This window comes from Homo sapiens, chromosome 10, assembly GCF_000001405.40.
Source record: "Homo sapiens chromosome 10, GRCh38.p14 Primary Assembly".
NCBI lineage: Eukaryota > Metazoa > Chordata > Mammalia > Primates > Hominidae > Homo > Homo sapiens.
This window is the reverse complement of record NC_000010.11, coordinates 73,553,852-73,579,531: the sequence shown is the minus strand read 5'-3', so window position 1 is coordinate 73,579,531 and position 25,680 is coordinate 73,553,852. Positions and strand designations below refer to the sequence as shown.

The 25,680-nt window shown below is 40.3% G+C and overlaps 1 protein-coding gene across 26 annotated transcripts in view; it reads left to right on the top strand.

Annotated features, from left to right (window-relative positions):
* USP54 (ubiquitin specific peptidase 54) overlaps nucleotides 1-25,680 on the top strand; it is a 128,444-nt gene that overhangs the window by 46,450 nt on the left and 56,314 nt on the right. For 9 of the 26 annotated variants that reach the window (NR_165443.1, NR_135249.2, NR_165442.1 and 6 more), the window contains exons 2-4: nucleotides 3,171-3,734; nucleotides 3,857-4,020; nucleotides 8,019-8,111. Coding sequence is in view for 21 of the 26 variants with exons in the window: in NM_001391945.1 (NP_001378874.1) it covers nucleotides 3,874-4,020; nucleotides 8,019-8,111 (240 nt within the window). In the remaining 5 variants the exon portion in view is untranslated. Of the gene's footprint in view, nucleotides 1-3,170; nucleotides 4,021-8,018; nucleotides 8,112-25,680 lie in introns of all 26 variants that reach the window. The other 17 variants (NM_001391951.1, NM_001391942.1, NM_001391947.1 and 14 more) reach the window with 3 other exon arrangements.

The window sequence follows — 25,680 nt, the reverse complement described above, 5'->3', positions numbered from 1 at the left end:
CCACCTGCTTCAGCTTCCAAAAGTGCTGGGATTACAGGCATGAGCCACTGCGCCTGGCCAAAATTGGATAGTTTTTCTTATTAAGTTTTGAGGATTCTATATATTTTAGATCTAAGTCATTTATCTATTATGTGACTTGCAAATATTTTCTTTTAATCTTTGACTAATCTTTTCATTCTCTTAACAGTGTCTTCCAAAGAGCAGACATTCTTATGATGAAGTTCAATTCTATAATTTTTTCCTTTTATACATTATGCTTTTGTTGTATCTAAGGAATCTTTGTCCGGGTGCAGTGGCTCACACCTGTAATCCCAGCGCTGTGGGAGGCCGAGGATGGTGGATCATTTGAGGTCAGGAGTTCAAGTCCAGCCTGGCCAACATGGTGAAACCCCATCTGTACTAAAAATACATGGTGGTGCATGCCTGTAATGCCAGCTACTGGGGGAAGGGGGTGGGGGTGAGGGTGATGGGGCTGAGGAAGGAGAATCACTTGAACCGGGGAGGTGGAGGTTACAGTGAGCTGAGACCACGCCACTACACTCCAACCTGGGCGACAGAGGGAGACTGTCTCAAAAAAAAAAAAAAAAAAGGAATCTTTGCCCAACCAAAGGTTATAAAATTTTCTCCTGTCTTCTCCTAGAATTTATAGTTTTAGGTTTTTTGTTTAGGACTGTGATGTATTGAATTATTTTTGTATAAGATGTAAGGTATGACTCAATGTTCAGTTTTTTGCATATGGGTGTCCCAATTGTTCCAACATCATTTGTTGAAAAGACTGTCATTTCTCAATTAAATGGCCTTGGTACTTTCATCAAAAATCAATTGACTGGCTGGGTGCGGTGGCTCATGCCTGTAATCCCAGCATTTGGGAAGTCAAGGCAGGTGGATCACCTGAAGTCAGGGGTTTGAGACCAGCCCCTGGTGAAATCCCGTCTCTACTAAAAATACAAAAATTAGCCAGGCATAGTGGCACATGCCTGTAATCCCAGCTACTCGGGAGGCTGAGGCAGGAGGATTGCTTGAACCTAAGAGGCGGAGGCTGCAGTGAGCCAATATTGCGCGACTGCACTCCAGCCTGGGTGACAGTGAGATTCTGCCTCAGAAACAAAACAAAACAAAACAAAACAAAACCCAAAAAACAAAACTAGGTAGTGAGAGCCATACAGATAAAACTATAATTCCCCTCCTCACATATCTTCAGTAAATGGTATTGGAGAAGGATTACATTGTTTAATGCTATATCTACAATTTAAGTGAAATGTTTTTGGTGTTAGTATTTCTCTGGACCACTTGTTACTGCCTCTCTTGTCTGGTCCTTTATGCTCTCACTTCTAGTTGGTGACACATCTAGAACAGGTCTGAGAACTTACTGCTTTACCCTACATAATACTGCCATTCAGAGCCTGAGAATCTTTTCTCTGCTACTGCGTTTTTCTCCTTTTGCTCCCTGTACTCAGGAGTGTGTGTCATAGGGCAGGCTGAGTTTCAGTTAGCTCCTAATGTGGATATTGGAAACCCCACCTGCCTGCCAAGTCCTTTTGGCTGTGAGCAAAGTGGAGGCTTGGTACTTGTCATTCCTTTGCAGCAGTTGAGCTGAAGGAATGCTGCATGGCTTGTTGGAAGTTGCTTAGTGGCCTTGAGTGGGGTGTGTATGAGGGTGTGTGTAGAAAGGTGAGGGTCTTATAGTCTGTGTGGGAGATATGGGTTCTTTTCTAGTGTCATGTTAATCATCAGGCAGTATTTATTGACTGCCTTCTTATGACTGGCACTGTAATAGGAGCTTTTGGAATAGAATAATAAAATATATAATTAAGTCATTGTTTAATAGTCAAACATTTCTAGATCTGCCACTTACCAGTGTTGAATTGGGCAAGTTAATGTCTTTAAGCCTCTCTTTACTTTTCTGTAAAATGGAACTATTAATAGCTATCTGATAGGACTGTTGTGAATATTAAATAAAGGACATAAGTATCGTGTTTAGCACATACCTGACTGTAGCTACTATTTCATTTCATGTAGTCATATTATGACGGATACGATATAAAACAGAGAGTAATAAAAATAGAGAATAATGTGACAGTAGGCTGTATAATCAAATACTTTAATTGGGACATGTAGATTATAAATAGTCTGGGAATTTACAGAAGGGAAAGAACAGTCTTATGCAACCATTTAATATTCCTGTACCTCAGTTTTTCCATTGGACATGCTGTAGACAATGCTAGGTGATCTCCCAGAGAATGATTAAGATGTTAAAGCATTTTTGTGTTTTTAGATGGTGCATATGATGGTGAGAAGGAAGGGAGAATGAGGAATTGTTGATGTTGGCAAATTTAACACTTAACATTTAAAAATTTTTCCTTATGTAGATGGACATGGCAGCCTTATAGGAAAACTTAAAGCTGGAGATGTGGTGATTTCCTTCCAGGGAACATACTTGCTTTGGTATTACTCTCTGTTGCCTCACTGGCATTTTAATTAGTTGAAAACTAAAGTTGGTCAATGGATTGCCTCTGATTGTGAGCCCTTGGATATAATCTGGAGATTAAATGATTTGTAACCCAAATTATCTCTCTGATCCTCTGGCAAAAATGAAACAAACAAACAAACAGGGCAGGAGAAGATTTAGTTCTCTTGGACTGCATGTTAAGGACATGTGGTTTACTCGCCATCAGTGTTTCTCTGGATGGAACATCTTTACTCAGAACAGATCTTAGACTGCTAACATGGCCTTCCCACCTTTAAGCACGTTTTCATAAGCATATTCATGGAAAACACCTTTTAAAAAGTGCTTTATTCACAATGTCCAAAAGGAACTTTCAGTTCCTAGTTTGTGTGTGCTTACTTGGTGATTTGTTTTGTGTTAGCCTGATACTGGAAAGTTTGTATTTTGTTTTTATTTCTATCCAGATCAACTTTCTTCTGCTTCAAGAAAATTTCAGAGAATTTTCCCCTGAAAGTAAAGCTGTTCATACCTTTTTTTCCTTCTCTTTAGTTTGGGTGTCTCTCTCTTTTTTTTTTTTTTCTTTTTTTCTTTTTTTTTGGCATTGTTTGCCAAGGTTTCAAGTTTATAGTGAGAAGTGAGGCAACGTTGATCTTGGCAGAACAGTCCAAAGCCAGTAGAGTCATTAAGTGACGCAAGCTTTTGATTTTTTTTATTTCTGTTAAAGCTCTCTGACACAGCTGGCTATTCTAGTCCCAGAAGAAAGAGGAGAGACTTGCTGAAGATCTGGATGGGACAATAGAAGTTTGGGGCACATTAAAAAGAAGCAGCAAGAACATCAACAAAAACCTCAGATGATTCAAACAGGCTTCTTCTTGGCTTTGTGGAACCTTTTGCAGTTGCTCAGAATTTGAGTTTTTGCTTCAGAGGATGATGAGACAAGGCAATAGAGGGTGAGGAGGATCATGTTGGATTCTTGCTTCTCTGTCTGCCTCTCCTTCCAGTTGGAAAAATCTTCAGTCCATAAGAAGCATTATCAACAAGCCTGAAGAACACATCTTACCCTGATCCTGGATGCTGTTGGAGTTGAGAATTACATCCACTTCACCAGGACTTTATGGAGGCTGTTCAAGAAAAATAGAAGGAAGCAATACTTAAGGATTTCTCTGTTTGCATTAGTCCTGTGCCATGTTACATTTTGGAGATTGTTTGGAACAAGTGAGGGAGGGCTCTGTCATCTTGATCTAGGAGGATACCTGAGTCCCTTGACTACACAGATGATATTTGGAAGGTGGTAAAGTCAAAATCTTCCAAAATAAATTCACTAAATTCTGGATTCCCTTTCCTTTTAGAACTTTAGCAGACAGAAATTCCTGCCAAAAAGGCACAAATCCTTCTCCATTTTTTTTTCAGGCTAAATGTGAACAATAATGTCTTGGAAGAGAAATTATTTTTCAGGGGGTCGTGGTAGTGTACAAGGGATGTTTGCACCTCGAAGCTCAACCTCCATAGCCCCCAGCAAAGGCCTCAGCAATGAGCCAGGGCAAAACAGCTGCTTCCTCAACAGTGCCCTGCAGGTAAGGGTCATTTCTTTATTTTTGGTGAACTTTGACTTTTAATTGCTGATGCTGTATTTCTGATAACTCTTTTTAAATAAAATGTTTGATAGTCTCTGTTTGAGGTTAGTAACCTGAGATAATTTTTACATTTATCTGTGTGATCTTTGGCAAGTCACTTTATCTCTTTGAATCTCAATTACCTCATTTGTAAAAAAGAGGGATTAATAATGATAAGAGAAATAATAATAACTGTAACTACTATTATTTACATGCCTAAAGGGAGGTAAATGGACCAGGTGATCTTTCAGACAGAGTCTTGCTCTGTCGCCCAGGCTGGAGTGCAGTGGCGCAATCTCGGCTCACTGCAACCTCCGCCTCCCAGGTTCAAGTGATTCTCTTGCCTCAGCCTCCCGAGTAGCTGGGACTACAGGCGCCCACCACCATGCCCAGCTAATTTGTGTGTTTTTAGTAGAGACGGGGTTTCACCATATTGGCCAGGCTGGTCTCGAACTCCTGACCTTGTGATCCACCTGCCTTGGCCTCCCAAAGTGCTGGGATTACAGGCATGAACCACCGTGCCTGGCCTATCTTTCTATTTATCAACTTTTTTTCCTGAACAGTCTCTACAGGTTCCTATTTTTCTTTTCTTTTCTTTTCTTTCTTTTTTTTTTTTTTGGACAGTCTCACTCTATTGCCCAGGCTGGAGTATAGTGGCCCAATCACAGCTCCTGCAGCCTTGACCTCCAGGGCTCAGGTGATCCTACTGCCTCAGTCTCCTGAGTAGCTGGGACCATGAGCGATCTCGGCTCACTGCAACCTCTGCCTCTTGGGTTCAAGCAATTCTCATGCCTCAGCCACCCAAGTAGGTGGAATTATAGGTGTGCATCACCACACCCGGCTAATTTTTGTATTTTTAGTGGAGACAGGGTTTTACTATGTTGGGCAGGCTGGTCTTGAACTCCTAGCCTCAAGTGATCCGCCTGCCTCAGCCTCCCAAGGTGCTGGGATTACAGGTGTCTGGCCTGTTTTCTGTTTCTCCTTTCGGGAGTAAGGTGTGTTATCCTAGTTGCTTTTCTCTAGTATAGAAGCAAAATTCTTTCCACAAGTCAAAGACTTTCAGGTATGTTAATCTCGTCTCTTAATATTCAGGCTTTTGGCCCACATATTGAATGGAGTCTAGTCTTTGTCCAACTTATCTCCTCTCTTTGAGCTCTCCTGTTTTGGCTCATAACTGGTGTCTAGTCAGATACACTTGAACAGAGCTAGGGGAAAGTGAATTCCCTTAAGTTGATTATCTACCCTACATTTTCCCTTTCACTGTTGCTTGCCACTTGAGTGATCTTAGAATCCCAAAGCTTTCTGTCTGTCTGCTCTGCCCAGTCACGCCCATAGCATGTTAAGTTCATCCCCCTTGGCCTAACTTTCAAGTAATTACTTTCTCTTCTTTTCTGCTCTTCAGTGTAAAAGTAAATGAAATTTGCCACCCAAGATAATTATACTTGGGTAAAATATTAGCTTCACTCCTCAGATGTTATGAGAAAATGGGTTGCTATGAGAGAAGACAAGATATTTAGTATAAAGAACAATGGTCCTGGGCATTAGGAGGAGACCTGGGTTGTAGTTTTAGCCATTCTGTAGACTAGTCTTGTGACTTTGTACAGGTAATAGTGTCTGAGTTTCCTCATTCATAATACAAGAATGTTGCCAAGCTTATCTAGGTAATAAAAGTTTCATGCTCTTTCTCAGTTTTTATTTATTTATTTTTCAGACAGAGTCTCACTCTGTCGCCCAGGCTGGAGTGCAGTGGTGGGATCTCAGCTCACTGCCACCTCCGCCTCTTGGGTTCAAGCGATTCTCCTGCCTTAGCCTCCTGAGTAGCTGGGATTACAGGCTGTGCACCACCACGCTGGGCTAATTTTTGTACTTTTAGTAGAGACGGGGTTTCGCCATGTTGGCTGGGCTGGTCTTGAACCCCTCACCTCAGGTAATCTGCCCACCTCGGCCTCCCAAAGTGCTGGGCTTACAGGCGTGAGCCACTGTGCCCAGCCTCTTTCTCAGTTTTTAAGTTTTTATTCGAAAACAATAAAAAAAAATTATGTGCTGGCAAGCCTATAGAAAAAATTTAAGTGCTTTCCCTAATTATTACCCAAATTTCATGTAGTTAGGTGGAGTTGGTTAGGTTTTTGTCCTGGATGATGCATATTAGTTTTCTTTCTTTATTTCTTTCTCTTTTTTTTGGAGCCAGAGGTCTCACTCTGTTGCCAAGGCTAGAGTACACTGGTGTAATCATAGCTCACTGCAGCCTTAACGTCCTGGGCTCAAGCGGTCCTCCCACCTCAGCCTCCCTAGGTAGCTAGGACAACAGACACATGCTACCACACGCAGCTAATTTTTTTTTTTAATTGTTTGTGGAGAGAGGGTCTCACTATAATTGCTTAGGCTGGTCTTGAACTCCTGGGCTCAAATGATCATCCTGCGTTGTCCTCCCAAAGTGCTGGGATTATAGGCATAAGCCACCACACCTGGCCACATATTAGTTTTTTTAGTTACTTTGTATCCTGATAATACTTTTGTGATTTAGAAGCAGGCAAAATAAGGCATTGATATAAATGTGTTTGTTTACCCGTGTCTTGGCCATAGTCCCATTTTTGTAATTGTTTTTTTCTATGTGGTCTATTTATATTGTCAGTTGAAACAATACTATTTATGATTTCCCATTCTAATTTCCAGTGCCATATACAATACATAATATATATACACATACATATTTCTGTATCCATACTTAATGATTGAGGCATTGATGGTTTTGGAGTCCCTATAATAATCATGTTACATGTTGAAAATAATTGTTGTTATGAGCTAATATTCTAACTTTTGGTTTCAAAGCTGTGTTTACCACAGATGAGTTGAACCTATTACATTTGTTATAAAAAGGTGTTATTTACTTGGGAGCATAGCCAGTTTCAAAGAACTTTTAGAGTGTGTATCTTGAGACATATAAGTAAGAAGAAGCTCCGGAGGTGTGCTGTCATCTGGGGCTCCAGAAATTATGCTTTTTCATGTATTATGACATTAAATGTTTTCCTAGCAAGGGGGAGCTTCCTAAGGCATTATGCTATATACTACATCATTTCTTTTTTAACTAAAAATTGCAATTTATTCAGATTTCCTTAGTTTTTACCTGGTGTCCTTTCCTGGCCCAAGATTTCATCCAGGATACCACATTTAGATTTACTTGTCATGTCTTCTTAGGCTCCTGTTAGCTGTGACATTTTCTCAGAATGTTTATGTTTTTGATAAACTTTGACAGTTTTGAGGAGTACTGATCAAGTATTTTTTTGGATATCCCCCTTCCCCTATTGGAATTTGTCTAATGCTTTTCTCATGATTAGACTAGGGTCATAGGTTTTAGGGAGGAAGACCACAAAAGTATAGTGCCATTCTCAACACATTGCATCAAGGGTATATACTATAACATGATTTACCACTGTTAATATCATATTTTTTTCCCATTTCAACAAAAGTATAAAAATCATTATTTTTTACCCTATTGACTTAAGGAGATCACACTTCTCTTAGAAATGTCTGAAAATTGAGAGTCCTAACAAAGATAAAATTCCACACTACAGCTCACATTTCTACAGTTCACATTTCTAATATAAGTTTTAAAATATTTTTGCTTTTCTTGTGTGGATAATGAATATAAATCCTTATTCTTCAGCTTTAACCCGTAAATTTCCTCTTCCGGATCACATTTGATGTATATCATGTCATATTTTAACTGTATTACCTTCACTTTATGTTCAAATTAATATCTTTCCCAGAATATGACCATTTATTTTTCTTGTTAGATACCTCACCTTTTTTCACATTTGTTTTAATATACTAGAATGAAGTTTTCTTTTGGGAATAAAGACATCTTCTGCAGTCATTACCTATGTTTGTTTGAACTCTTTACTTTAAAATTAAATGGTAGCTTTTTATAGAGTAATGAAATATTTTCCTTTTCTCATCAGGTTTTGTGGCACTTGGATATCTTCCGACGTAGCTTTAGGCAGCTTACAACTCACAAGTGCATGGGAGATTCCTGCATCTTTTGCGCTCTCAAGGTAAGTACTTCCAATTAGTTTCTTCTCACTACCATTGGGTGGCCAAATGGTCAATATCAAGGTGGTTTGGTTAATCAGGATGATGCCAAAGAATTTGTTACTGAATTATCTACCTGTGGTTTAGTGCAAAAATGGATATGATTTGTTTGCTTGCTTCAAAGAATTAGTACTTGGCTTGGGTAGTCTCTTTTACTGAACCTTTTTTGCTTATGCAGCTCTGTTTGATGTGATAGAATACTATGCAAGTATGCTTCTCCTTTTTTTTTTTTTTTTTTTTTTTTTTGGGATGAAGTCTCACTCTGTCACCCAGTCTGGAGTGCACTGGTGCGACCTCAGCTCACTGCAGCCTCCGCCTCCTGGGTTCCAGCAATTCTCCTGTCTCAGCCTCCCGAGTAGCTGGGATTATAGGCGTGTGCCACCATGCTCGGTTAATTTTTGTATTTTTAGTAGAGACGGGGTTTCGCCATGTTGGCCAGGCTGGTCTCAAACTCCTGACTTCAGGTGATCTGCCTGCCTCGGCCTCCCAAAGCACTGGGATTACAGGCGTGAGCCATTGTGCCCAGCCTGCTTCTACTTTGAGTGTTTATTTGAAAAGCTAATTCTAAATTTTCATTTTGAAAGAAGATGCAACTAGGTGTTTTTAACGTAATTAATTTTGTTTGTTAAAGCTAAATTTAGCAATAAACTCTTCCTATTGATAAATGCCAGTACAACGGGTGAGGTGGCACATGCCTGTAATCCCAGCCTTTGGGAGGTCAAGGTGGGAGGATTGCTTGAGCTTAGAAGTTAAAAGCTGCAGTTCTGATCATACCACTGCACTCCAGCCTGGGCAACAGAGTGAGACCCTGGCTCAAAAAAAAAAAAAAAAAAGAAAAAGGAAAAGAGAGTAATGCCAGTACTAAAATTTTTCTATTCCCTAGTTTCCCATTACCACACTTAAAAGATTCTTTTATACCAGTTCTCTACCCCATGTATTGTTTAGTTTTAAGTTTTTCATTTCTGTTTTTTTTTTTACTTCCCCACCTGTTTCCAAGTTTTTCATTTCTGAATAAAATGAAACCAGAGATTTCTTTAGAGCAAAGAAAATGGCCTAAAGTGAGAGATTTCTGACTTAGAGATTTTAGGTATGTTGCTAAAGAGAAAGAGCTATGATGTGTAAGGGCCAATTCTGTTGCTTTCTCTGTTTCTCCAACATGTAGTTTCCCTACAGTTTCTTAGTCCAGATATATAATGGATTATATGGATGAGTCTGTCTGATTTCTGAGTAAGCTTCCACAGTCATTTTTGGTCTCATAAAGTCTGAATTCTTGGTTTGTTACAGGGATGTTTGGATGTGATCGTTATATGTTTAATTTATAATAGTTGCTTTTACATCCTGAAATAGGAACTGTAACCAAAAACTTTAGATTTTCCCAGTTATATTAGTTATTTGCAATAACTGACTCAAAATTTTTTTTGACCAGTATTACTATGGAGGGTGTTTTTTTTTTTTTTTTTTTTTTTTTTTTTTTTTTTTTTGGAGATGAAATCTTGCTCTGTTGCCCAGGCTAGTCTTGAACTCCTGGGCTCAAGAGTAGGCTGGGATTACAGGCTCATGCCACCACACCCAACTCACTTTGGAGTTTTAAGCCCATGATAGGCAGATTTTTTTTTTTCTTTTTTTTTTTTGAGACGGATTTTCACTCTTGTTGCCCAGGCTGGAGTGCAATGGCGTGGTCTTGGCTCACCGCAACCTCTGCCTCCCTGGTTCAAGCAATTCTTCTCCTCAACCTCCCGAGTAGCTGGGATTACAGGCACCTGCCACCACGCCCTAGCTAATTTTTGTATTTTTAGTAGAGACAGGGTCTCACTGACTTCAGGTGACGCCCGCCTCGGCCTCCCAAAGTGCTGGGATTACAGGCGTGAGCCATCACGCCCAGCTGGAACCATTATAACTTGTAACAAAATATAGAATATAAATTATTGGTTTATTGGGGAGTTCAAATATGAATTTTAATAAAACCAAATCTTTTACAAGTTGAATATAACATTTCTTACTGTGCCCATTTAGACAGGGGTCCATCCAAAGGGCATTTTATCTGATTTTCTGAAAGATACATTAAGTATCTAATTTTAGATAAACAAGAAATACAGTAGTCCCATGGTAAGTCCAGAGGAAGTCTGATTCATGGCATTAGAGCCATGCTAGGGAGAAAAAAACAACAACAAAAAAAGTCATTCAGAAAGGGAGAAAAAAACAAAAAAACGTGTTTGGGGATACTTACTAGGGAAATGTGCATCCTGGAGAAGTCCCTATAGAAGAACTGTCTGACACTGGAAACTCTTGTCTGTACCAAGAAGGGATGAGAGCACTTACATGACCTCTGATAGTCCTTTGACTAGTCGGGACTGTGCTATACTCTTCATTGATCTGGGTGGGACTCTGGAGAACTGGCTGCCACATTCTTGTTATATTTCATTTTCCTGAGGGACAAATTGTTACTTAGTATAAATCAGTATCATTATATAAGCCAGAAAGATGAAGAAAGTCAACCGCTAGACTTACCCTCTGAGACACACAAGTACAGAAGGGAAATTGTCAATTTGTTGGGCTGAGGAAATATTTTGGGACTCTTTCAGAGAGACAGTTGCTTGTGGTGGATAGATAAATGGGCTTGGGGATGTATTTATCAAAGGCTATATTTTGGGTCTTCATAACTCTGGGGATGTGTTAGAATTCTGGTACTTTCCTCATTACATCACTGCCTGATCTAACCAAGAGATTTATTTTCCTTCACTGCTTCATTTGTTGTGTTGGGAGTGTATTAAAATTTGATTTTTTTTTCCCCTAAGGGCTTTTCAGTTCCTCAGTGCTATATAGATGTTAAATAATTAGGCTCTAGTTTGAACACACTTCACGTTTTAGATGGCGTTGTTTCTATTCTTTTAATTATTGTATACTTGATTTGAAAATTATAGACTTGTAATGCAGATAGACTAATTTGGAAGTGTGGATGAGCTGAACTTGATTTTAATAGTTAAGAAGTTTAAATTGTTAGAATAGCCAGTTTTCAAGAGCTATTCCCTCATCCAGGATGGAGAGCTTCATTTTCTGAGAGAAGGGAAAGGATGATAAACATATGAAGGAGTAAACTTGAAATGAGCCATCAGCACCTGGGTCCTCCTGTACGATGTCTCTTTTGTTCCCCACTTTAAAACTACTTTTATAGGGCTGGGAGCAGTGGCTATGCCTGTAATCCCAGTGCTTTGGGATGCTAAGATGGGAGGATCACTTGAAGCCAGCAGTGTGAGACCAGCCTAGGCAACATAGCAAGACCCCATCTCTACAAAGAAAAAAAAATTAGTGGGACATGGTCGCACATACCTGTAGACTCAGCTACTCTGGAGGCTGAAGTGGGAGGATCACTTGAGCCCAGGAGTTCAACACTGAAGTGAGCTATGATTGTGCCACTACACTCCAGCCAGGGTGATAGAACAAGATCCTGTCTCTAAAAAAATAAAAAATAAAAATACTTTTATTGAAAATAATACAATTCATCACTGAACTAGATTCTAGTCATTGTAAATAAGACAAAACCAAAGGAAAGATATAAAGATTATAAAGGATCAAACAAAGTTGCCATTATTTGCAGATGATATGACTGTTACAAAAAAACTCAATCTACTGATAAGTCAGAAGCAGCAATGAGAGAGTATAGTGGGTTGTTGCATCAAGGCATAACATTCAGTTCTGTTTCTTTTTTTCTTTGAGATGGAGTTTCACTCTTGTTGCACAGACTGGAGTGCAATGGCGCGACCTCAGCTCACTGCAACCTCTGCCTCCCAGGTTCAAGTGATTCTCCTGCCTCAGCCTCCCGAGTAGCTGGGATTACAGGCACCCACTACCACGCCCAGCTAATTTTTTGTATTTTTAGTAGAGCTAGAGTTTCACCATGTTGGCCAGGCTGGTCCCGAACTCCTGACCTCAGGTGATCCACCCTCCTTGGCCTCCCAAAGTGCTGGGATTACAGGTGTGAGCCACTGCACCCAGCCCAGTACGGTTTCTATAGCTGGCAACAAACAGAAAATGCAATTTAAAAAGCATTTTATAATAGCAACAAAGTATATGCAGTAAATATGAATAAATCTTACAAAAATGGTATAAGACATTTGTGTAAAACCACAGAAATCCAGTATAACGAGTAATCAAAGTCAACACCCTTGCAGTAACTCTTCAAGTCAAAATAGAAAATTGCCAGTACCGGCAGGATGTGGTGGCTCACGCCTGTAATCTCAGCACTTTGGGAGGCTGAGGCGGGTGGATCACCTGAGGTAAGGAGTTCAAGACCAGCCTGGCCAAGATGGCGAAACCCTATCTCTACTAAAAATACAAAAAAATTAGCTGGGTGTGGTGGCGCATGCTTGTAATCCCAGCTACTCAGGAGGCTGAGGTATGAGAATCACTTGAACCCGGGAAGCGGAGGTTGCAGTGAGCCAGGATCGTGCCACTGCACTCCAGCCTGGGTGACAGAGCAAAACTCTGTCTCAAAACAAAACAAAACAAAAAAACAAAAGAAAGTTGCCAGTACCATGTACATTCTCCTCCCTTTTTTCTCAATCAGATCTCTTTTCTCCCAGGGACTTCCTAATGTTTGTGGTAGTCATTTCCTTGTTGTTGTTTTTTTTGTTTTGTTTTTTTGTTTGTTTTTTTGAGACAGAGTCTCACTGTGTCGCCCAGGCTGGAATGCAGTGGCATGATCTCAGCTCACTGCAACCTCTGCCTCCTGGGTTCAAGTGATTCTCCTGCCTCAGCCTCCCAAGTAGGTGGGATTACAGGTGCACGTCACCATGCCCGGCTAATTTTTGTATTTTTAGTAGAGATGGGGTTTCACCATGTTGGCCAGGCTGGTCTCAAACTCTTGACCTTGTGATCCACCCGCCTCGGCCCCCAAAGTGCTGGGATTACAGGCGTGAGCCACTGCGCCTGGCCCATTTCCTTGTTTTATCTGGTGTTTTACTACCTATATATTTATTCTTAATCTAATTTTAAAATTATCTGTTTTTGAGACTTCATTGTAAATGGAATCATTGTATGCAAATTTTGTGTGTGTTTCTTAGCTCAGCAATGTGTTTATAAGAGCATCTACATTGTTGTGTGTAGGTCTAGTTCATTTTCATTACTGTATGGTATTTCTTTTTCTTTTCTTTTTTGAGACGGAGTTTCACTCTTGTTGCCCAGGCTGGAGTGCAATGGTGCGATCTCAGCTCACTGCAACCTCCGCCTCCCGGGTTCAAGTGATTCTTCTGCCTCATCCTCCCGAGTAGCTGGGATTACAGGCATGCGCCACCACGCCCGGCTAATTTTGTATTTTTAGTAGAGACAGGGTTTCTCAATGTTGGCCAGGCTGGTCTCGAACTCCTGACCTCAGGTGATCTGCCCTCCTTGGCCTCCCAAAATGCTAGGATTACAGGCATGAGCCACTGTGCCTGGCCTTGGTATTTCTTTGTGTAAATAAATCACTGTTGGTGATCTCTTCTACCAGATGACTACCAACATGACTACCAACTACCAAATGTTGGTAGTCATTTGGATTGTTTCCAGTTTTTTATTTTTATGAAGAGTATTACTAAGAACATTTTTGTACATGTTTACCTATGTGTACATATTTCTTTTGTACACATGCCCAGGACTGGAATTGCTAGATCATAGAATATGTATGTCTTCAACTTTTTTAGATAATGCCATTTCTTTTCCAGTGTGGTGGTACTCATGTATACTCTGATCAGTAGGCTTATTTTGGAAGTTGAGAAAAGACAGTTCTGAAATTTACGTAACAAACGGAAAAATATGACACTGCTGAAAAGTAACAACAGAGTGAGTGACCTCAGAGTAGGTAGGCTAAGTTATTTATTTATTTATTTATTTGAAATAGGATCTTGTTCTGTTGCCCAGGCTGGGGTGTAGTGGGGCTATTATGGTTCACTGCAGCCTCAACCTCCTGGGCTCAAGGAATCCTCTTGCCTCTGCCTCCCGAGTAGCTGGGACCACAGGCAGGTGCTACCATGTCTGGCGATTTTTAAATTTTTGGTAGAGATGGGTTCTCACTATGTTGCCTAGGCTGGTTTTGAACTCCTGGGCTCAAGCAGTCCTTTCACTTCGGCTTCCAAAAGTGCTGGGATTACAGGCATGAACTACCATTCCTGGCCCAGAGTATGCTAAATTATATTGTGGTAACAAACAACCATAAAATCCCTGTGATTAATATACCAAAGATTTATTTCTCATTCACTAAAGATAAGTAGGGATACTACTGATTATATCACTTAGGTACCAAAGCTACAATCATATTGAGTATTATTATTTTTTAGAGATAGGATCTTGCTCTGTCACCCAGCCTGGAGTACACTGGTACCAGTCATAGCTCACTGCAGCCTCAGTTTCCTGGGGTCAAGCAATTCTGTGCCTCAGCCTCCCAAGTAGCTAGGACTATAGATGTGTGCCACCATGCCCAACTCCTTTTTTTTTTTTTTTTTTTTTTTGGTAGAGATGAGGACTTGCTATGTTACCCAAGGCTGGTCTTGAATTCCTGGCCTCAAGTCATCTTCCCACCTTGGCCTCTCAAGGTGCTGGCATGAGCCACTATGCTTGACCACCATATAAAATATTAGTTGCTAAGCCAGAGGGAAAAAAGAGCTCTGGAGGATTTTGCACAGGCAGTTAAATGCTCAGCAGGTCATTTCACTTTTGCTCACAGCTCATTGAAACAGAATTAATCTTGTCCCATTGACCCACAAGGGAACCTGGAACTGTAGTCCTATGGTGATCCTTGAGAGGGGTAAGACCAGAGATATTTGCCAAACAGTATTAATGACTAGCATACTTTACCAGATATCAAGAATTATAAAACTAATAATTAAGATAATGTGGTATCTACACAGTATGGCAAATAAATCAATGGAACAAAATTTGTAGTTCAGAAATAGTCATATAGGAAACTTGCTACTTGCCCTGTGAATCTAAGGAGAAAATGGATTTTTCAATAAATGGTGTTTAGACAATTAGTTCTCCCTATAGGGAAAAGAAAAAAGGAAATTAGTTTCCTATTTCATACCGTACCAAAAGTAAGAATTTCAGATATTAAGGACTAAAATGTGACTCACACCTCTAACCTCAGCACTCTGGGAGGCCAAGGTGGGAGGATCGCTTGAGCCTAAGAGTTTGAGACTAGCCTAGGCAACAAAATGAGATCCTGTCTCTACAACAAGTCAAAAATTAGCCAGGCATGGTGATGCGCACCTGTCGGCCCAGCTACTTGGGAGGCTGAGGCAGGAGGTTCACTTGAGCCCAGGAGGTCGAGGCTGCAGTGAGCTGTGTTTGTGCCACTATACTCCAGCCTGGGTGACAGAGTGAGACTCTGTCTCAGTGTTTTTTTTTTGTTTTTTTTAAGTTTTAGAAGAACATATGAGAGAGTATCATGACCTCAGGGATAGGGAAGTACTTATTAAATAAGACATGAAAAAAAAGTTAGGAAATTGATAAATTTTACTACAAAAATTCAAAAACTTTCATTCATCTAAAGACTCCATAAAGAATGCAAAGAGACAAGGCTACAAACCTGGAGAAAATATCTTCAACATATATATGTAACAAAAGATTAGTATCCAGCATAGAACTCCAGAAAATTCCTATAAAAAATAAATAAAAGGCTGGGTGCGGTGGCTCACGCCTGTAATCCCAGCACTTTGGGAGGCCGAGGCGGGCAGATCTCCTGAGGTCGGGAGTTTGAAACTAGCCTGACCAACATAGAGAAACCCTGTCTCTACTAAAAATACAAAATTAGCTGGGCGTGGTGGTGCATGCCTGTAATCTCAGCTATTTGGGAGGCTGAGGCAGGAGAATCACTTGAACCCGGAGGGTGGAGGTTGTGGTGAGCTGAGATCGTGCCATTACACTCCAGCCTGGGCAACAAGAGCGAAACTCCATATCAATAAGTAAATAAATAAATAAAAGATAAATGAGTCAAGAGAAAAATGGACAAAGCTACAAACAGGCCTTTCTCAGGATAGGAAACCCAAATAACCCCTGAGCATATGAAAAATGCTTGCCCCCATTAGTAATCTAAGAAATGTAAATTGAGCCATACCCTTCAGGTTGGTGGACATTTAAAAATCTGATAAAATTGTTACTGCCAGGCTGTGGTGGCTCACATCTGTAATCCCAGCACTTTGGGAGGCTGAGGCAGGAGGATCGCTGAGCTCAGGAGTTTGAGACCACCATGGACAACAAAGTGAGATCCTGTCTCTACGAAAACATTTTTAAAAATTATCTGGGCATGTCGGTGTGTGCCTGTGGTCCCAGCTACTTGGGAGGCTGAGGTGGAAAGATCACTTGAGCCCAAGAGATTGAGGCTGCAGTGAGCCTTGATCATGCTGCTGCACTCCAGCATGAGTGACAGATAGGGTCTATCTCTAAAAGAAAAAAAAATTGAGTGTTACCAAAAATGTGGAATAATGAGAACTTTACATACATTGCTAGCTAGAATATAAATTGATATCACTACTTAGGAAAACAGTTTATCATTACTTAGTAGAATTGAACTTGTACCATGTAACCACCTCGCAGTTCCACCCCTAGCAATACATTGTAGAAAACTTCTTGATACATAATGTGCCAGAAGATATATTTGAGAATGTTCAAAGTAGTATATTTTGAGATTGTAGAAAAATGGAAATAACACATTCCAACTACACTAGAGTGGATTTAAAAATTATGGTTTATTCCAATAGTAAAACACTATATAGTAATGAAAATGAATTCTGCAGCTGCATGCAGCAACTTGGGCTAATCTCATAAAACATCACATTGATTGAAAAAAGCAAGTCATAGAAGACTATATGAATCATGATTCCATTTATATATAAATCAAAACCAGGCAAAACTGAAGAACATATTGTTCAGGGGTACATGCATGTGATAAGTCTGTAGAGAAAAAGGAAGTGCTTTTCACAAAATTCAGGATAGTTGTGTTCTGTAGAAGGTGGAGGGTAGATTTCATGTAAGTATGTAATCAGTTGGAGAGGTTTAAACTCGTGGTTTATTTTTCTATTTCTTAAATTGGGTGGTGAGCACATGGGTGTGTGGGTGTTTATTATTCTTTGGCTATGTATGTGTATATGTTATGTTTATTCTCTTTTTATGTGACTATTTTAATTATAAAATATAGAAAAGCACTGCAACCATTCTAGGAAGCACACTAAAGTGTAAAGAGGAAAGCTGAAAATTGCCTGAATTCTAGCATGGAGATTGTAATTTTTTTCTCTCTCTCTCTCTTTTTTTTAATGAGACAGAGTTTTGCTCTATCACCCAGGCTGGAGTGCAGTGGCATGATCTCGGCTCACTGCAACCTCTACCTCCTAGGTTCAAACAATTCTCGTGCCTCAGCCTCCCGAATAGCTGGGATTACAGGTGTGTGCCACCACGCCCAGCTAACAGATTGTCATTTCTTTTTATGCTTCCCGTCTGGTCTGTATTTCTGGTAGTAAGTCTTTTTGCCCACTGTTTTTGTAAAAAGATTACTTTTTTCCAGATCCCTAAATTGCCCCTCTATCTGTAGTATCTTCCTACTTCATTTGTTTTTAAACCTAAGAATACCCTGGAATGCTATATTGAAGTTAGTATCTTCTCATAATCCTGAAGTGGCTCCCACTTGTTTCTTAAATCACTTAAAAATGCATGATTACAAACATTTTAAAACTTAATTTTATATTTCTTTCCTTTCCTTCCCTGGGCATTCTGCATTTCAACTGTGATAACAATGCACTTGCTATGTCTACCTCTTAGACATTTCAGATGCCATTCACTTTGCGTGGAGTGTTTTGCCTCCCTTTTGCCAAACCACATTCACTTTTCAGAACTCTGCTTCAGAAGTTAGCTTCTTCATGAAGTTTTATTTAAATTTTAAATTTTTTAATTAAAAAAAATGGAGACAGGATCTTGCTATGTTGTCCAGGCTGGCCTTAAACTCCTGGCCTCAAGTGATCCTCCTGCCTTGGCCTCCCAAGCTGCTAGGATTACAGATGTGAGTCACTGTGCCCTGCCCTTCATGAAGTTTTAGAAATGCTATCTATCTAGAACTATGATTGTTTGACTTAATAGTATTTAGCATGGCTGAATGAATTTTTGGGAAAATAGCTCAACTCTTCTCTCTTGTTATTTCTCACAGTGCCTAGTACAGTGCTTGGACCATACTATAAACACTCTACTTTTCTGTGTTTTCTGGGTTGATAGAATCTTTTGGTAGTTCTTGGATTTCTTTTTTTTTTTTTTTTTTTTTTTTGAGATGGAGTCTCGCTGTGTCGCCCAGGCTGGAGTGCAATAGCATGATCTCGGCTCACTGCAACCTCTGCCTCCCGGGTTCAAGCGATTATCCTGCTTCAGACTCCTGAGTAGCTGGGATTACAGGCACCTGCCACCACGCCCGGCTAATTTTTGTATTTTTTTAGTAGAGACAGGGTTTCACCATATTGGCCAGGCTGGTCTCGAACTCCTGACCTTGTGATCTGCCCACCTCGGCCTTCCAAAGTGCTAGGATTACAGGTGTGAGCCACCGTACCCGGGCTTCTTGGATTTTATTAAATAGTTACGGAGTTTTTGGTAGTTGCCTTCCATTTTTCTTCCTGTCTTTTATGACCTTTCTCACTCTTGTCCTATTTGATGGAAAGAGGTTTTCATCCTGTGACTTTTGGTCTCACTTTTTTTTTTTTTTTTTTTTTTTTTTGAGACGGAGTTTTGCACTGTCACCCAGGCTGGAGTGCAGTGGCGCGATCTCAGCTCACTGCAAGCTCTGCCTCCCGGGTTCACGCCATTCTCCTGCCTCAGCCTCCTGAGTAGCTGGGACTACAGGCACCCGCCACCATGCCCGGCTAATTTTTTTTTTTTTTTGTATTTTTAGTAGAGACGGGGTTTCACCATGTTAGCCAGGATGGTCTTTGATCTCCTGACCTTGTGATCCGCCCGCCTCGACCTCCCAAAGTGCTGGGATTACAGGCGTGAGCCACCATGCCCGGCCTGGTCTCACTTTTTTTAGTAGGCCTTTCTCATTTGGTAAGGGAAGGGTGAAATATGTGTGTATTGTGGGTGAGGCTAGAGTGATGATGGAAAAGACCTGCTGAAAGAAGAAAGCAGGCCTGGGATTCTGTCAGCAAAGCATTTATCTGGTATTCTGTGGTTAAGTTACATGTTATCTTGTGGTGTTTCCAGTGTGGGTATAATTTTATATACTTAAATCCCATTTTTTCACTGCTTCCTATTTAAAAATTAGAGGGATGTTTGATGAGGCTAATAAGAATTCCTTTTTGCTGAATCCTTAAGATCTGTTTGCATTCCCTCTTTTTTTTTTGAAATGGGGTCGCTTTGTCACCCAGGCTGGAGTGCAGTGGCACTATCTCAGCTAACTGCAACCTCTGCCTCCCAGGTTCAAGTGATTCTCCTGCCTCTGTCTCCCCAGTAGGTGGTGGCTAATTTTTGTATATATTTTTAGTAGAGATGTGATTTCACGATGTTGGCCAAGCTGGTCTCGAACTCCTAACCTCAAGCTATCTGCCCTCCTTGGCCTCCCAAACTCTGCTGGGATTCCAGGCATGAGTCACCATGCCCGGCCCTGTTTGCATTCTCTAATGTGAAGCTGATATGTAAAATACTTTTTTTTTTTTTTGAGATGGAGTCTGGCTCTGTCACCCAGGCTGTAGTGCAGTGGTGCGATCTGGACTCACTGCAACCTCCGCCTCCCAGGTTCAAGTGATTCTCTTGCCTCCACCTCCAGAGTAACTGGGATTACAGGCGCCTTCCACCACGCCCGTCTAATTTTTTTTTTTTTTTTTTTAGGTGGAGTTTTGCTCTTATTGCCCAGGCTGGAGTGCAATGGCGCAATCTAGGCTCATCGCAACCTCCACCTCCCAGGTTCAAGTGATTCTCCTGCCTCAGCCTCCCTAGTAGCTGGGATTACAGGCATGTGTCACCATGCCTGGCTAATTTTGTATTTTTAGTAGAGACAGGGTTTCTCCATGTTGATCAGGCTAGTCTCGAACTCCCGACCTCAGGTTATCTGCCTGCCTTGGCCTCCCAAGGTGCTGGGATTACAGGTGTGAGCCACCGCGCCCAGCCTACTAATTTTTTGTATTTTTAGTAGAGACAGGGTTTCACCGTGTTGGCCGGGCTGGTCTTGAGCTCCCAACTTCAGGTGATCCACCTGTCTTGGCCTCCCAAGGTGCTGGGATTATAGGCATGAGCAACTATGCCTGGTTGTAAAATTCTTGTTTTGTAGTTTTGTTTTTCAAAACAGGAAACTCCAAACTTTCTCAATTTGAAATACAGTTAACCGTTGAACAACACGGGTTTGAACTGTGTGGGTCCATTTATATGTATTTTTTTCAATAGATATATTATAAAATTTTTTGAGATTTGTGACAATTTGAAAAAACAAACCATGTAGCCTAGAAATATCAAAAAAATTAAGAAAAAGTTATGTCACAAATGCATAACATATGTAGATAGTAGTCTATGTATTAATATTGATCAAGTATTTATATTATTGGTAAGGCTTCCAGTAGACTATTAGTAGTTAAGTTTTTGGGGTGTCAAAAGTTATACACAAATTTACAACTGTATGGGGTCAGTTCCCCTAACCACTGAGTTGTTCAAGAGTCAGCTTTATAAGGACTTGCCAATTCTGTAAAGTCAGATTTCTTTTATTTGGAGCATAATTATTCACTCTAGGAACCACTGGTAAGGACAAAAGGAAACACTAACATGTTTCTAGATGAATCAGAGGCTGGCCAACTTTCCCTTAGTCTGATGTTTAGATGAGGGACTTGCCTTTCCATGTCTGGCTTAAAGATATATATTCCTGAGGCCAGGTGCGGTGGTTCATGCCTGTATACAATTTTATACATTTGTATAGTATTGTATACTATAATGTATACTATAATACAATCCCATGCCTGTATGCAATTGTATAGTATTGTATCCAGTACTTATAATCACTTTGATTTGTACATAGAATTTATGATCCCTTTCCTTTGGTTCTGTAAAATGTACTGGGTTTTTTCTGTGTTACTTGATACTAAGTCCCTACAGCAAATTCAGCCTCAAAATCTTGCATGCAAGTTACTAATTATGCCTTTCATTGAAAATAGTTTGTGTCAGTATGTCATTCTGCTTACTTTGAACCATGATGCCTGTCAATTCTGACTTAAAAATTGAAGATTGGGCGTGGTGGCTCATGCCTGTAATTCCAGCACTTTGTGGGGCCGAAGTGGGCGGATCATGAGGTCAAGAGATCGAGACCATCCTGGCCAACATGGTGAAACCCCGTCTCTACTAAAATACAAAAATCAACTGGGTGTGGTGGTGTGCACCTGTAGTTCCAGCTACTCAGGAGGCTGAGACAGGAGAATCACTTGAACCCTGGAGGCGAGGTTGCAAGTGAGCCGAGATCGAGCCACTGCACTCCAGCCTGGGCAACAGAGCAAGACTCCATCTCAAAAAAAAAAAAAAAAAAAAAAGAATAATAGCTCTTTAAATCCTTCTTGAGCTGGTCTTGATGTGGTTAGTCACTGAACCCATTTATTTGATAAATAACCCATTTATTCTCCTTTTGAGAATAAAACTTCCTCAGGCCTGTAATCCCAGCACTTTGGGAGGCCAAGGTGGGTGGATCACCTGAGGTCAGGAGTTTGAGACCAGCCTGGCCAACATGGTGAAACCTTGTCTCGACTAAAAATACAAAAATTAGCTGGGTGTGGTGGCATGCGCCTGTAGTCCCAGCTACTCGGGAGGCTGAGGCAGGAGAATCGCTTGAACCCGGGAGGTGGAAGTTGCAGTGAGCTGAGATCGCGCCACTGCACTGCAGCCTGGCGACAGAGTGAGACTCCGTCTCAAAAAAAAAAAAAAAAATTAGCCAGGTGTGGTGGGCGGCACCTATAGTCCCAGCTACTTGGGAGGCTGAGGCAGGAGAATCACTTGAACCTGGGAGGTGGTGGTTGCAGTGAGCGAGATTGCGCCACTGCGCTTCTGCCTGGGTGACAGAGCAAGACTCCATCTCAAAAAAAAAAAAAATTGAAGAAGTTTGTGTGCTAATTACCCTGTCCCCTCAAAAGCCCCAAATTTATTCTATCTCATATCACTAAAATATTTTTTCTGACCTAAGTTACTGTTATGCCTGTAGCCCAGTGGTCTTATTTATTATTCACAATGAATCTACTCTTACACCCCTGGCCCCCAGGGTATGACTTGACTTTGGTGTTGGCTTATTTATTTATCTCTGTTCAGGATAGGAAATCCGTCCTCTGTATTTAGTGTGCCACAAAGATTTTGTTCTTCCAGGGATTGTACTAGAGGCTTTGCAGTGCCAGGATGTAGGACAGAGTGTTTTTTGTTATAGGCAAAGCAGAATGTGCATTGATTGATTAAATTAAACAAATCTTCTCAATTAGTGATTTTTCTTTTAAGAATGCTAGTATAAGGCATAAAAGCCTGGGAATGGTGCTGGTAGAGGGTGGGTGGGGAGGAAACAGAATTTCGTATATAAGGTATCCTGTAATATCTATATGTGGAGAGCGGTTAGACTGTTCTAATGGGGCAGGAAGGTATGTGTTTTACTCGTAGTCCACTTGTTAATTGGGGGAAATGTGAGAATTCAAGGAATCTCTAGTATTTTTCAAGTTATACCTTATGCCTGTTTCTCTGTTGTGTACTGAAGCATAAGCACAGAGAATAAAATGATATAAGAAATTACTCAGCCCGGGCGCGGTGGCTCATGCCTGTAATCCCAGCACTTTGGGAGGCCGAGACGGGTGGATCACGAGGTCAGGAGTTGAGGACTAGCCTGGCCAAGATGGTGAAACCCTGTCTCTACTAAAAATACAAAAATTAGCCGGGCGTGGTGGCAGGTGCCTGTAATCCCAGCTACTTGGGAGGCTGAGGCAGAGAATTGCTTCAACCTGGGAGGTGGAGGTTGCAGTGAACCGAAATGGTGCCACTGCATGATTGTTGCCTGGGTGACAGAGGGAGACTCTGTCTCAAAAAAAAAAAAAAAAGAAAAAAAAAGAAATTACCCATTGTTCATTATTAATCCATTCCTTTCTTTTGCAGATTGTAGAAATGGAAGGTTCTTCATTGTTCTTTAGTCACAGCCACTATCAGAGAAGAGAAAACTCATTATTCTGAACTGATTCTTGAAACCAGGAAATTAGATTTCTAGTATATTCCCTAGAAATTTTAGCTGGTAATAAACAGCTCTCACATAAGGAAGTATGTCCTTATGTCTAATCCAAATATCATCTACTTGAGTTAACTTCATTGTTTTGATCACCTATGTATGAATATGAGCATATTTATATGGTCCTTTGATCATCCTTCCCTTAGTTTTAAGTTCCTATTAGACTGTGACTGGTTTAAATATTCTCAACTAATTTATCCATTGGCAAAACTTGAATAGTATAAAATGAATGCTTCAGCTTTTTTTTAAAATTTGGAGTTCAGAATTGTATATGATATTCAAATAGAAGGGGTACGACTGCAAGGAAACATGTAGTGAATCATCATGATTCTTTCCTTGCCAGAATTTATGGCAGATCCTACAGTTTAGACAATCTCAAAACCTTGTGCATATCCAGAAGGGTGTCCCCTTTCAGTTTTTCCTGTGGGGTAAGTGGTTATGTATTCTCAAAATTTGATTTGAATACTGTTGGTAATTTATAAGAGTCTTGCAGTTTTGATCTTGGCAAAAATTAGTAAATTGACTACTGTATTTTATAAAACCTCAACATTAGCTTATTATTTCTCATTAAAAGCAATACCTTTCTGTGGCGAATTTGGCCCATCTCTGTCTCTGTCCATTGTCTTGAAGTCTTGGTGTTACTGTTTATCTGTGTCTCTTGTCTTTGTGCATATGTGAGTTGCCTCTATTTTGCATAGCTGGTAGCAGGAATGAGTGTGATATGTAGCTTATGATTGTCTTTAACCTCACCATTGCAAGTCCAAAATATTGTTATGAACAGAATGCAAATAAAGTCTTAAAGTTATGAGGTGATATGGTATTGATAATTGACTTTAATTTAAAGAGACTGGTAAAGGATAGGTATGTGCTTTTCTAATTGAGAGTCCAGAAGGTAGATATATGGTTAGAGAATCTCAAGGGAGAAACTAGCCAGCTCTTCTCTGCCTTCCCCAAAGTTAGATCAAGAGTTCGTATTAAATTACATATGTGATGATATTAAGACATTAATAACTTTTGGGGTGTGTGTGATAATGATATTATTATTTATTTAGTTATTTATTGAGACAGGGTCTTGCTCTGTCACCCAGGCTGAAGTGCAGTGGTGCAATTATAGCTCACTGTAGCCTGGAACTCTTGGGCTTAAATGATCTTCCCACCTCAGCCAACTGTGTAGCTGAAACTACAGGCATATGCCACTGTACCCAGTTAATTTTTTTTTGTAGAGACAAGGTCTTGCCTTGTTGCCCAGGCTGGTCTCAAACTCCTGGCTTTAAGCCATCCTCCCAAAGTGCTGGGATTATAGGCATGAGCCACAGTGCCCAGCCTTATGGTCATGTTTCAGAGAAAAAGTTATTATTTTTTAGAGATATATTTTGAAATATTTACAAATGAAAAATGTTTGGCACTTGTTTCAAAATGATCTGAGAGTAAGTTAAGTGGATGGGTGGTATAGATGAAATAAGATTGGCCACAGGTTGATAATTGTTGAAGTTGAATGATAAATAAAGGGAGTTGATTTAGCTCTTCTGTCTACTCTTGTATGTTTGAAATTTTTTACAATAAAATGTTAAAATCCTATGTTATTATTTTTGAGTGCCAAAAGGGTAAAATGTTTTTCCCCTCTTAAAAGACAACTTTCAACATTCTTTTGAATACAGAAAACCAAGTGAACGTCTCTTTTCCAGTAGTCAGTGATCCTCAAGGACTAGCTCCTTTAACTTACTTACAGAGGGTAGTGTTTACAAAGAAGCCAGACTGGCCAATTAAGTTCTATGATTCCCAGGAGATGTAGCGAAAGCAGTGATTATGAGAGCCAAAATTGGGAAGTCCAGGTTGAGAAGAGAAACCCTAAGAATTGAGTTAATGGCAGGGTGTAAAGTTTGTCACACCTTTGCAGAAGGTATTGCAGGGATGAAGTGGGCTGCCCACTGGAGCACTTTCCAAAGACCTTGAGCTCAAAAAGCACCAAAATTAGTGACAACCTTTCTCCTTAATCCTCACCTTCTCTACTCATGACTTCTTTTAGATATAAGACTGGGAAATCCTGAGAGAGAAAAAAACAGCTGTTCCCCACTTAAAGACAAGAGTCTGTTTTAGGGGAAAAATACTTAAGCAACAGCTGCATTTGTAGATGTCGAAGCATAAAGACTTTCTGTTTTTATGGCACTTCTATCTTATTTACATGGTTTTTACTAATCCAAATAATTATGTGCTCATGTGGATAGAATTGTTTGCTGCTTAATCAAGAGAGATGGGTGGGGAAGCACCTGCTTTTAGTCGTTAAAATCTTGTTGCTTTTGTACTGCATCCAA